Source organism: Homo sapiens, chromosome 7 (genome assembly GCF_000001405.40).
Source record: "Homo sapiens chromosome 7, GRCh38.p14 Primary Assembly".
Classification (NCBI taxonomy): domain Eukaryota; kingdom Metazoa; phylum Chordata; class Mammalia; order Primates; family Hominidae; genus Homo; species Homo sapiens.
The window spans coordinates 44,241,324-44,253,645 of record NC_000007.14 but is presented as its reverse complement, the minus strand read 5'-3'; the positions used below and the strand labels follow the sequence as shown (position 1 = coordinate 44,253,645).

At 58.2% G+C, this 12,322-nt stretch overlaps 1 protein-coding gene across 35 annotated transcripts in view, besides 2 other annotated features; it reads left to right on the top strand.

The window, feature by feature from the left end:
* CAMK2B (calcium/calmodulin dependent protein kinase II beta) overlaps nt 1-12,322 on the top strand; it is a 108,860-nt gene that overhangs the window by 72,368 nt on the left and 24,170 nt on the right. For all 35 annotated transcript variants that reach the window (XM_011515559.3, NM_172084.3, XM_017012665.2 and 32 more), the window contains exons 6-11: nt 6,454-6,526; nt 10,119-10,221; nt 10,313-10,396; nt 10,992-11,086; nt 11,306-11,428; nt 11,863-11,946. In XM_011515559.3, the coding sequence (XP_011513861.1) occupies nt 6,500-6,526; nt 10,119-10,221; nt 10,313-10,396; nt 10,992-11,086; nt 11,306-11,428; nt 11,863-11,946 (516 nt within the window). In that variant the 5' untranslated portion in view covers nt 6,454-6,499. The remainder of the gene's footprint in view (nt 1-6,453; nt 6,527-10,118; nt 10,222-10,312; nt 10,397-10,991; nt 11,087-11,305; nt 11,429-11,862; nt 11,947-12,322) is intronic.
* Nucleotides 3,398-3,916: an enhancer, noted in NCBI's record as "H3K4me1 hESC enhancer chr7:44289329-44289847 (GRCh37/hg19 assembly coordinates)". NCBI's record gives its function as "activates a minimal SCP1, AML or CMV promoter by ChIP-STARR-seq in naive H9 embryonic stem cells {active_cell/tissue: H9 hESC(naive)}" and the evidence as "EXISTENCE:reporter gene assay evidence [ECO:0000049][PMID:30033119]".
* Nucleotides 12,220-12,319: an enhancer, noted in NCBI's record as "active region_25935". NCBI's record gives its function as "activates an Ori minimal core promoter by ATAC-STARR-seq in GM12878 lymphoblastoid cells {active_cell/tissue: GM12878}" and the evidence as "EXISTENCE:reporter gene assay evidence [ECO:0000049][PMID:35858748]".

Below are 12,322 nucleotides of genomic sequence, written 5' to 3'. Positions count from 1 at the left end.
AGCCTGGGTGACAGAGCAAGACCCTGTCTCCAAAAAATAAATACATAAATAAGGCTAACGGAGGACCTCGCTAGGTGGTGAAATTGTGGATGATTTTAAATTTGTATCTTTGTCTATTTAAAAACTCTTTTTAGGCCGTGCGTGGTGGCTCACACGTGTAATTCCAACACTTTGGGAGGCCGAGGTGGGCGGATCACCTGAGGTCGGGAGTTCCAGGCCAACCTGACCAACATGGAGAAACCCCGTCTCTACTAAAAATACAAAATTAGCCGGGCGTGGTGGCGCATGCCTGTAATCCCAGCTACTCGGGAGGCTGAGGCAGGAGAATTGCTTGAACCCAGGAGGCGGAGTTTGCAGTGAGCTGAGATTGCGCCATTGCACTCCAGCCTGGGTGGGCAACAAGAGCAAAACTCTGTCTCAAAAAAAAAAACCAAAAAAAAAAAACTCTTTTTAAAATGAGTATGTATTACTTTTCTGATCCAGAAAAATGAATTTTTTTTTAAGTAGCAGAAGTAGTTTGATGTGACTTGCCTCTGCACCAGTAGGAAACTGCCCATCGTGACATGGCCCGCATCCCTGATGGGCAGTGTGAGCAGCTCTGGTGCCACTGGGCCTCCCCTAGAGCTGGGCAGGGAGAGGGACAAAGCTGGTGAGTCTCTTGGCCCCAGACTTCTGTGGGGTTCGGGACACTGGCTTCTTTTCTAAGGATCCTTGAGGAGGGAATTTGTAGTTTGCAGAACAGCCTGGAGAGGCCTGTGCCCTTGGAGTGGAGGAAGACGAGGTTTTCCTTTATATTCTACTTAGAAGACAAGTAGAAAGTGGAACGGAGCCCTGTCCCCCTGCTCTGAGCTTCTGGGGTGAGATATGTCACAGAGCCTGCTGCTGCCTGCCTGCTGGCCAGGTGGACTCGAGGGTCCCTGGTGGCCCATCCAGACACCTGCTGGGGCAGGTGGGATCCTGGGATGGGTGGAGTGCCCTGAGGGGTGGACAGATGCTGGGCAAGGGTGGGGGCATGTGGCCTCCTAGAGCCTCCCATCAGCAGATCGGATCCCACAGCTAGGGTTCAGGAGTGCCTTAGACCACAGCCCCACCCTCCCCCACCCCCACCCCCTGCCCGTGCCCCATCACAGGCCCCTCACTCCCACCCTCCTGCTCACCTGCTGCCTCCAGCCCTCTCCCCTGCCCCTCTGTGCTGCACCCTCTCCTATGCTCCCTCTGCCTCCTTATTGATGTCCTGCAGCCCCCCAGAGCCCCCTCTGCTCCTGTGGATCCCTCTTGGCCCCCTGTGTGGTTTAGGAGTCTTTGTGTTCATCAGGTTTGGGGAAGGAGACACAACCTGTTATCCCCCACTCTGGGGGTCAGCTTGAGAGTCAGCCTGCCCAGAATGCTGCACCCCTCACCGCCCCAGGTGGAGGCTGGAATGGGGCAACTCCAGCCATGGGGGTGAAGGGTCACATGTGGCTTCCTCATCACACCAGGCCAGTTCCCTCCAGAGCGCCAACCCCTCCGCCCAATCCACAGGCGCGGCCTTGACTTCTTGCTCAGCATCTCCCTCCTCAGTCTGAGTCTCGGATGGACACACAGCACCCCACACACACCCACAGCCCCTCCCCGTGGCGGGCCCTGGGGTGCCTGGCCTGGCAGCAGGAGTCCCATCTGCTTGAACCCCAGATTTTCTGCTGTGGGCCGGGGGACCGCAGAGCTGGCCTGGCGAGGTCTGGAGCAGCCTCAGGGTAGGCTCGGGAGGGGAGAAGTGAGGGATTTCTAGGGTCCTCAGGAAATGCTCGGGCTGTTCAGGTTCCAGAAACCTTTGCCAGAGCAAACTGTAGTGTTCCCGGCTCTGACCCAGGTCTCCCCATCTCCTCTCACAGGACTCCCGATGCGGAGGGCACCCCTGGTGTATGGGGTCCTTGGAACCAGCCAGAAGAGATGTTCTCTTAGAAACTCCACTGCCTCCATTGAGGGTTTGGAGCTCAAATGGAGGGCATTCCATAGCCAGACTGTGGGGAGCGAGGGGGCACACGGCCTGTGTGCTGTAGAGGGTGCCAGGATCCGGGCAGTGATTTTGGAGGCTGAGTGGGAGAGGGGACATGGAGAGGGAAGGAGCCTCCTGGAGAGCCCCTCCTGGGTTGGCCCTGCTGGTGCGACAGCCTCAGCATGGGGCCCCTCCTCGGGCTTCAGCAGCCTTGGGCTCCTTTCTTTCTGGGTGAGCCTCGTGCCCTGCCTGGGGCCACGGTGGCTTTGCTCTCTGTGCGTGAGCTTCAGCCTTCAAGCAGTGGAGCTCGGTGGAGAGTCTGACAGAGGCACCCGTGGGCCCCTACCCAACAAGCATAGCCACAAACTCAGGGCAGGACTATAGCAAAGGAGGGAGCTTGACTTACCCCCAGGCAGAGCCCCATGTCTGAACAGTCAGGGTTGTGCTGAGACAGAGGTAAAGGACAGGCGCGGGACAGGATGGGCCGAGGCCTCCTGGCCAGACCCAGGCAGGGAGGTGCTTTCCGAACCACACAGACGCAGCCAGGGCAAGTGTACTAATGCCCTGCCTGGTACCTGCCAAGGGCCAGGAGCTGCTGCCGTGGAGCAGCTCACAGATTTCTGGATGAGCCCCATCTAAGGAACAAGAAGAAACAGGACAGTCATTGCTTTTCTGAACTCATTTCTAACCAACAAAGCTGGAAATTCCTCTTAGGAGGAAGCAGGGTCTTATTTTGGAGTTGATGGGGAAACTGAAGGGTGTCCATGTCTTCTTCAAACAGGGAAAGCAAAGTACAAAACATTTAGAACCCATTTTTAAAAAAACCTTAAAAAGCAATGTGGTGGCCAGGCACGGTGGCTCACGCCTGTAATCCCAGCACTCTGGGAGGCCGAGGCGGGCGGATCACAAGGTCAGGAGATCGAAAACATCTTGGCCAACATGGTGAAACCCCGTCTCTATTAAAAATATAAAAATTAGCCTGGTGTGGTGGCGCATGCCTGTAATCCCAGCTACTCTGGAGGTTGAGGCAGGAGAATCGCTTGAACCCGGGAGGCGGAGGTTGCAGTGAGCCGAGTTCGCGCCACTGCACTCCAGCCTGGGTGACAGAGCGAGACTCCATCTCAAAAAAAAAAAAAAAAAAAAGCAATGTCACTACTGAAAGATGGCTGAAGGGACCTGGTGCAATGCTGACTGTCTGCGGAGGGGGAGGACATCAGAGCCCAGGCTGAGAATAACGTCCCAAATGCTGCTTGGGAACAATTCTAATCACAAAAGTGACATCTTAAACTGTTCAAAACATGAAAAAACAAAAACAAACCTAGAGGGGATCGGCCCTTCCTAGAGAAGACATCGATGTTAACAGAAAGTGACGGCAGACAAGATGGTGTGACTGTGAGTCTCACATCCTCCAAGGCCGTGGTCTCAGATTGCACCAGGACAAGGGCAATATGAGGACAGGTCCCTAAAGTGCAGGGGACTGCCCTGAATGGGCTGTCCCAGGCCAGGTGGTTGTCCCATCCCACCTACCCTGCTGGGTGCAGCCTGGCCCAGCGTTGTCTTGGGGACCCCTGGCTTGCTCAGCCAACTCAATCCTGAGCATGCGTTTGCAGGGCCTGGAGGCTGCGTGACAATGGATGGGGCGGACTTGATCTCAGCAACACGTGCCAAGTCCCCGTCATACCCTTAAGGACACCATGGAGAGGTGCAGAACCAATGCTGTCCCCATAGTCCCCGTCTCTGGCATTGGTTTGGGAGGGGAGGGGAGCCTCCTCAGCAGGGGAGGCTGAGGAGGACTGGGCGAGCCAACTGTGGAGTCAGGGGGTGATGACAGCTGGGGAGGAAGGAGGATACAGGGCGTGGCCAGAGCTGCGGCCAGGACTCAGTAAGTCTGAGGCTGAAAGAAGGTCGATGAGGAAGGTTCAACTCTCGCCCTCAGCAGTAGTCTGTGAGGTGCATGCGGTGCAGGCCGAGTCCCTGTTGGTGTCCCGGGAGGTGGCACTTCCTGGTGACCACAAGCTCTGCACATATCACTCCACCTGGAGAGTGCCCAAGGGCAGAGGAAAGTCCAGCCCTCAGGGAGGTGATGGACCACAGGGATGGGCTGGGGGAAAGTGCACACAGTTGGACAGGAGGAGCCCAAGATCTATGCCCTTCCCAGGACAAACCAGGGCCAAGACTGACCACAGGATCTGGTCAGCACTGCTACCGTCCACACCACGCAGCAGTGCATGAAGGAGCTGGCTGGCCCTTGGGAGGGCCCCTGGGAGGGCCACACTGAGCTCACTCTGCATCTGGACCCATCTGGATGGCTGTGGATATCTGACCCCACAGCCTCACCCCCGACTTCCCAGGCTTCCCGTCTTGCAGGGAGGCTGAGTCTGCCCACCAGAGGGAAGCCCCCACCCCAGCCAGCCAGCCAGCCATGCTTAGGCTCACAGGCCTTGGCAGGACACAGTTGGCCATTCAAAGGAACAGATGCTGGGCCCCTTCAGGAACAAGGAGGAGGGGCTGGTCCAGGCAGATGAGGGCAGCATGGGAAGTAGATGCTCCTCATAGTGGCTTGTCATGGGCTGACTTCAGGGACACAGCCCTCTACAGGAGTTGCAGGAGCAGAAGAGAGGCCAGGAAGTCTCTAGATGTAGGCCAGGGAGAAGGGAGGATGTTTCAACAAATGGGCAGGACACCCCAGGGCACATGGGGAGGAGGGAAGGCAGGACACCCCAGGGCATATGGAGCAAGGAGATAGGATTGTGGCTCCCACTCTTGGTGACATTGAAGTGACACCACCAAGGGGCTGTCTCCCATGAGTTTGGGCCTGGCTTCTTCTGACCCCACACACCTCAGGAGTCCATCACCCATTAGGACTCTGAGGGCTGGATTTCTTCAGGAGGAAACTCAGATTCACTTTTTAATGCAATGGCTGACGCTGTACAGATGGGACCAAGACGGGTGGGAGCTATTTGAGGAAGAAGGCTGACCTCTCGTGTCTTCTCTGAATTTGCTGTTAGGAAAACAAAGCCCACTCATCTTGCTGACCCTGGTCACCCTCCTGTCCCCAAGGATCTGGCTGGGATAGAAGGGTCTTGAGGGGGTCTTCCTGTCCCTCCCTTGACCGTGCCCAGTGGGGCGGTGACTGAGACCCCAGGCAGGTGGGCATCGGCAGCCTGTGGCAAATGCCTCCAGGCCCAGCAGGGCAGCCTCGGAGGTGGTGGCTGCTATCACCCTGCATTGTGGAGCTGTCCCTGGGGAAGGGCTTGTGTTGGGCTCCAGGGGCACCTGGGCAGAAGCAGATTCAAGCCACGGGCTCTCGGTGTGTGCAGGGGCTCCGTGGCCCTGGGTCTGATGTGCTCTAGGACAGGTGTCAGGGAGGTGGCCTGAGAGCAGCTTGGACCTCTCCTCCCAGCCAGTCATGGCCTGGAAGGGCCCTGGACTTCTGCCAACAGCCCTCCCTGACTATGAGAGGAAGGGTTGAAGGGGAAGCTCCGTGTGCTCAGTGCTGTGCACACACAGCCCCCTGCCCAGCCCCTCAGATCCCTGGGAGCTGAACTAGATGCCCCTAGTGCTGCTGGAACTGAGCCACCCAACACGGCAGCCACCAGCCAATGTGGCAGCTTGGGTTTCACTTTTTATTTTTTTCTTTTTGAGATGGACTCTCCCTCTGTCACCCAGGCTGGAGTGCAGTGGTGCCATCTTGGCTCACTGCAACCTCCACCTCCTGGGTTCAAGCAATTCTCCCTTCCTTAGCCTCCTGAGTAGCTGGGATTACAGCCGCCCACCACCACACCCAGCTAATTTTTGTATTTTTAGTAGAGACGGGGTTTCGCCATGTTGGCCAGGCTGGTCTTGAACTCCTGACCTCAGGTGATCCGCCCACCTTGGCCTCCCAAAGTGCTGGGATTACAGGTATGAACCACCGCGCCCAGGCAGGTTTCACTTTTTATTAAAATGAAATAACATGTGCCCGAGCACATTATTTCTGCTCCAGCACAGAGCAGGGTCCTGGTGCCTGGGGCTTTCTCACACACCAGGGCAGCCCCCTGCCCCCACCCCCAGCCGCCTTGACCCTTCCCTGCCTTGGTTTTCTAGCCCGCTCGCCCGGCCTGCTCACCTCAGCCTGCCTTACAGGGTACAGACTCAGCCTGGCCTCCCTCCTGAGGGTGCCCAGCTTAGGGTCAAGCTTGGCCAACAGGAGCCTGGGGACAGGGGTGTTTCCTTTGAAAGTCACTTCTGTGTGCCTAGCCATGCCCTCTGAACAGATATGGGCCCAGAGGGGAAGGCAGGGCCAGGGCCAGAGTTGCTGGCCTTGGAGGTGAGGAAGAAGCCCCAGAGGCCCCTCCTGGCCAGCATCTCCTCTCACCTTGACTTGCTTTGTCCCCCTGGTCCCCCCAGGCCACACAGCACCATTGCCCCTGCCCCCAGTGCCTCCTCTTGCTGCTCCCCAGGGCCACTCGCACTAACCCACCTGCTGTTTGCCACAGTCACTGTATCCAGCAGATCCTGGAGGCCGTTCTCCATTGTCACCAAATGGGGGTCGTCCACAGAGACCTCAAGGTGAGTCCCCACCCCACTCTGTGCCAGGTGTCTGTTGTCTGTACCTGCATGCTGTGTACAAGGAAGTGTGAGGGGCTGGACAGTGTGTGGCACTGTGGAGCTTGGAGGGGTGAGGTGTATGTGTGTGTGTGTCCTTGTGTGCATGCATGGAGGAGTGTGTGCATGCATGTGCATGTGTATGTGTGTGCATGTCCTGTGTGGATGGTGTGCATATGTGCGTGCATGTGTGGAGGCATGTGTGCATGCTTATGTGTGTGCACCTGTATGTAAATGTGCATGTGTCATGTGCATAGAAGTATGTGTGTGCATGTGCATACGTGTGTACATGGAGGTTCGTGTGTACATATGTGCATGCCTGGGTGGAGGCATTGTGTGAGTGTGTGTGCACATGTGTGTATACATGCTTGTGTGTGCATCTTGCACCTGTGCAGGGATGTGCATGTATGTGCACACTTAGAGGTGTGAGTGCATATGTCTGCATGAGTGGTGGCGTGTCTGTGTGCCTGTGTGCATGTGTGTATACATATGGCATGTGTGCATGCACGTGTGTGGGGACTGTGCATGCATGAGTATGCAAGTGTGTACAAGTGTGTACATGTGTGGGCATGTTCATGCGCATGCATATGTGAATGTGTACATGTGGGTACATGTGTGCGTGTATGCATGTGTGTGTGTGTCTGTGTGGGCATGTGTGTACATGTGCATGTGTGTGCACTTGTGTGTTGGAGGGGTGTCTGCACATGGCCCTCCCTACCCCTCCGGACCTCCAGGGCTGGGAGGGGTTAGTCTTCAGAAATCAGCCTATTACACCGCACTCCAGCCTGGGCAATAGAGAAATCAGCTAGTAACAAATGTCCACTCAGGGTCTAACTGTGAGCCCCCACCAAGACTCCACTGTGGCAGATGAGGACACAGGTGACAGGGCTGACGCCGCTGGGAGCAGAGTGGTGAGAGCAGGACTCGCCAGGGTCTGCCAAGTCCTCCCAGCCCTTTCCTCAAGTCTCTGCTGCCCCCAGCTCAGGTCTGGGCAAAGCAGTTCTAGGCTGTGTTCGGAAGAAGGTTGGTCACCCCCCAGGGCACAGGGTGGCCTCTCAGAAGCTTAGCTGTCTCTCTGCTCCTTCCTCTCTCCCTTCCTTCCTCCCTTTCCTTCCTTCCAATCTCCTTTCCTCCTTCTTCAACCCCACCTTCCCCAAGGCTTGGTTCAGCCTGCTGCTTCTCTGTAGACAGGCAAGCAGTGCAGACCCTGGGGCCATCACCCTGATGGCATTTTTAAGACCAACCTCCCCATTGGTTTTCATGCTGAATGGGGGTCACACCTTTCCTTAGGCCATCGATGATCTTTGTGCTGCTCTGGGGAGAGTGTCACACCAAGAGCAGATCCGGGACCCTCTCCTATACCCTTTACACGCCACCGTACCCCCTGTTCCCTCTCATCTCTGCATCCCAAGCATGTCCTGCTTTGTCTCACCTGAGTCAGCCTCACTCAGGCGCCTCTGGGAGGAGGGGGCCCCCAGGTGCTCCCCTCGGGGCCACGTGGGTTGGTGCTAGGACTCAGTGGCTCTCCTGTGAGGGGCCACAGACATTGTGTTACCAGACCCCATGATTTATCTGGTTAACTCTGGAGCCAAGGCATAGAAGTAGAGGTCAGTGGTACCTCCTCCCCAATTTGGGGGACAAACAGAATTCTTGCTGTCTCAACCTCCTGTTGAGGGGGACAGGATGTCCTTTTCTCCTGGACAGAAATCCACCATCTTGATCGTGACAGCCCAGGAAGCAGCAGAGTAGTGGGGTTGCTCTCACCCCACTGGGGAGGGTGGTAGAGAGCAGAGGGCAGTTGATGTCATCCCAGGGAACTGCAAAAGAGCCAGGGTGGGGGCATCACTGGGTGGCCTAGCAGGGGTGGGCACAGCCTGAGAGCTACCCTGGAGCCTCCAGGCCTTCTTGCCCAGTGCTTCCTACGGTCCATGTTCACTTAACGCTCCTTCTCTTCGGAAGAACTGCTGGTCTGTTTCCTCTGGGGAGGGGGGACATGCAGCAAGTCTGCTCTGGGCTGGGTGGAGAAATGCAGCCCCTGACCCCTCCTCTGTCCAACTTCTCCATGTAGCTGCACGGGGAGCTTGGGGCCTCCACCCACTCACGTTGGCAAAATCACCATGTCCAGTGGCCTGTGGATTGGTGCTCGGTGGACACGGATGCGTGTGCCCCAGCAGGCTGGGACCCCCAAGGTGACGAGGAGGTGGAGGTGGGGGACAGAAGCCCCCAATGCTGCCTTGTCAAGGGGGCACACGGCCTCATCCCGCCTGCTCAGTAGGGCGTGGCTGGAGCTTTCGAGGAAGCTCTGGGTTTCTGCTGAGGGGCGCTCACAGCTCGGGGCTGTGGCAGTCTTTCCACATGGGGATAGCATATGTCATTCATTCTGGGGGTCACTTTTTCACATTTCAAGATCTCTGAGGTTTACAACCAGTGTTAAAAGTGGGTGGAGTGGTCTGTTTTGTCTCTTTGGGCGGCTCATCAAGCGGCAGTGTGATCCCGAGGGTAGTGCATCAGATGGAAGCAGTGCCAGGACAGCGGGGTACTCACCAGGGCAAAGGGGTGGCCTGGGAGGCTGGCCAAGGGACCCGAGGGCCCCAGGGAGCCCCCTGCTGGTCAGGGACAAGGAAGGCCTGCAGCCAAGAGACCCCACCGCTGGGAGATGGTGAGGCTGATGGGTAGGCCAGAGCCCGATGGGGTTTGAAAGCTGGGACAGGAAGGTCCCATGGGATGCAGTGGCCCTGGGACCCCCTCAGGCCCTCAGTGCCAAGTGCCCCCAGGCCTCCTTGGCCGCTGCTGCAAGATAGGGAGCAGATGTCCTTCTGGCTTGAGCAAGGGCACTGCTCTCTGTGTCAGGGCCTGAGTAACCCCCCAACCTGTGGATACCCAGCGGGCAGGGGGTCATTGCAGGGGCCTCCTTCCTGCCCCATGTAGTGGGGATGACCAGAGCCAGGGGGACTTGGTGGGTGGATGTCCTGGGCTGCCCCTAGTGCTGAGGGCCCTGGGCGTTTCTCCTTGCCCTTTGGGGGTCACCATCTCAGCAGGAAATACCTGAACTTCCCCTCAAGCAGCCCCCAACATCCCAGGTCTCTGAGGAGTGAGAAACAGGGAGGGAAGGGAGGGCCATTGCAGCCTCTCAGCCAGTGGGAGTCCGAGGGCCATGGGAGCCCCCAGCCACTGCACAGTCTGCCCCAGGGCTGTGGGGAACATTTAGTTTGCTTGTAAGGATGAGCTTGAGGTTTTGGTCCAACTAGCCCCCAGGTCGCCCTTCCAGGTTATGGGGATCCAAGCTCAGGCTGAGAGCCAAGTTTCCTCTGAAAGGCCAGAGCTGCTGTGTCTCTGTCCCCAGGGGCAGAGGGGCTGTGGGGTTGCAGGCTCAGCGTCTGGGACTCTGGGGTGAAGGCTCAGCCATGCCCTGCAGACACCATGGGGCAGGGCTCAGACCTGTGCACCTGTCTCTTGCAAACCACTGTTTTCTCTGTTTTGTAACCCCCCACCCAACCCCACATAACACCTCTGGGTTTAAACAACATGCACCCTTGTGCCGGTCACCTCCCTGCAGCCGGAGAACCTGCTTCTGGCCAGCAAGTGCAAAGGGGCTGCAGTGAAGCTGGCAGACTTCGGCCTAGCTATCGAGGTGCAGGGGGACCAGCAGGCATGGTTTGGTGAGTGCCAGGGGCAGGGTGTGTTGGCTGGCAGTTGGCAGGGCAGGAGGTGATGCTGACAGCCCCTTGTGGCCTCTTCCCCTCTCTCTAGGTTTCGCTGGCACACCAGGCTACCTGTCCCCTGAGGTCCTTCGCAAAGAGGCGTATGGCAAGCCTGTGGACATCTGGGCATGTGGTGAGGCCTGGCCTGAGTTGGTGCGGGGCAGGGCCTCGGGTGTTTCAGGACTTCCCACCTACATCCTGGAGTGTGCAGTGGCCAGCACGTCTTGCTCTCATCTGGGTTTATCTGTGTCAGACCTGCCCTTGAGCTGCCCTGGCAGGGGTCTGCCCACACAGCCAAGAGCCCCCTTTCCACCCAGATTAGAATTGCTCACATGAACCTGGCGCACCCCAGTGCTCGCCTGCGCTCAGCAGAGGTCTGGTCCAGAAGTGTGGTGGGTGGATGGGAGTGGAGAAGAGAGGTCAGGGGCTGTTGGGCCATGGGCAGGGCCACCTCCTTGGGTAGGGGTCTCCTCCCACAGAGGTGGGGAGCAGCAGAGGGGCTTGACATCACCCTCATCCCTGTGATAGTGTGGGTGTGGGGCAGAGGTCAGGGGGCCGGCTGTGCCCTTCTACCCCAGTGTCTGCTGCACAGGTGGGGGCAAAGGAATGCTGAGGACCCCAATGCCCTCCCAGGGCCACAGGAGCTAGGCAGTGAGGGTGCAGGGCATGGGCTTCATGGACGGTGGCACCCTGCAAGTGGCTGCGGTGCTCACAGGCCCCATCCGCAGGGGTGATCCTGTACATCCTGCTCGTGGGCTACCCACCCTTCTGGGACGAGGACCAGCACAAGCTGTACCAGCAGATCAAGGCTGGTGCCTATGACGTGAGTGCACCAGCCCCTCTCTGATGAGCTCCCTTCCTCCAGGTGTGGCCGGGTGAGGGCAGCGTGGGAAGAGGCTAGGAGTGGGGTGAAGCCACCTGTGGCCAGGTCCTGGGTCCTGCTCTCCCAGATTCGTGGCTGGAGATGAAGCCCCTTGGAGAATTCTTGCCCCTGCCTGAGAGGGAGCTTCAGGCCCGGCCGGGGCGCTGTTTCCTTCTGCAGTTCCCGTCCCCTGAGTGGGACACCGTCACTCCTGAAGCCAAAAACCTCATCAACCAGATGCTGACCATCAACCCTGCCAAGCGCATCACAGCCCATGAGGCCCTGAAGCACCCGTGGGTCTGCGTGAGTCGCCCTTGGTGCCCATGGTGGGGAGGGGGCTCCTGGTGGAGATGGCCTCAGACCACTCCCCTGGCAAGGACCCCAAGAGGGTCCTGTTCCTGACATCCAAGAGCTCCCTTGGGTCCCCTGGGTGCTCCTTGTGGCCTCTGGCTTGGGACATACCAGCACGTTTGTGAGGCCTGGGGCTTGGAAGGCATTAGAGGGTAGAGGTGATCCCTTCCTCCCAACTGCAGTCCTGTCTGTGAGGGGCAGAGTGGACGAGGCAAGGGAGAGACGAGTCTTGAAGTCCCAGGCGGGTGGGGACAGACAACCCTTGCCGCAATGGTGGCCGGTGGCTCTTGGCAAGTGGGGACCCCAGGGTGCCACAAGCCTTGCCACCCTGGCCTCTCCCCTGTGCCTCGGGCTCGGCTGCCATATGACCACCCATTTCCCCACAGCAACGCTCCACGGTAGCATCCATGATGCACAGACAGGAGACTGTGGAGTGTCTGAAAAAGTTCAATGCCAGGAGAAAGCTCAAGGTGAGGCCCTGGCCCCTAGTCCCAGGCACGGCCATGCTTCTCTGTGTCCCTCTGGGCTGGAGCAGGGGGGCCTTGGGGGGTCTGGGCAGACCTAGGGGTTACTGCTGCCCCCAAGACTGACTGTTAGCAAGTCCCAGACTGGATGCATCAGGTGAACTCAGGCCAGCTTGGGAATGAGTCCAGAGGGGCCCTGGGCCAGGTGTGGCTCCTCCTAGTTGTCTGTGCCACCTCCTAGCAGCCCTTGGAGGAGCTGTCCTGAAGCGCTCGCTGTGGGCTCCTCACCCGGGCTCTGCAGGCAGCACTCACCCTCTGGCAGTCACACTGTTTAGTACAAGCAAGTCCGAAGCTTCCGGCTCAGACAGGTTTGGTAAGGAGA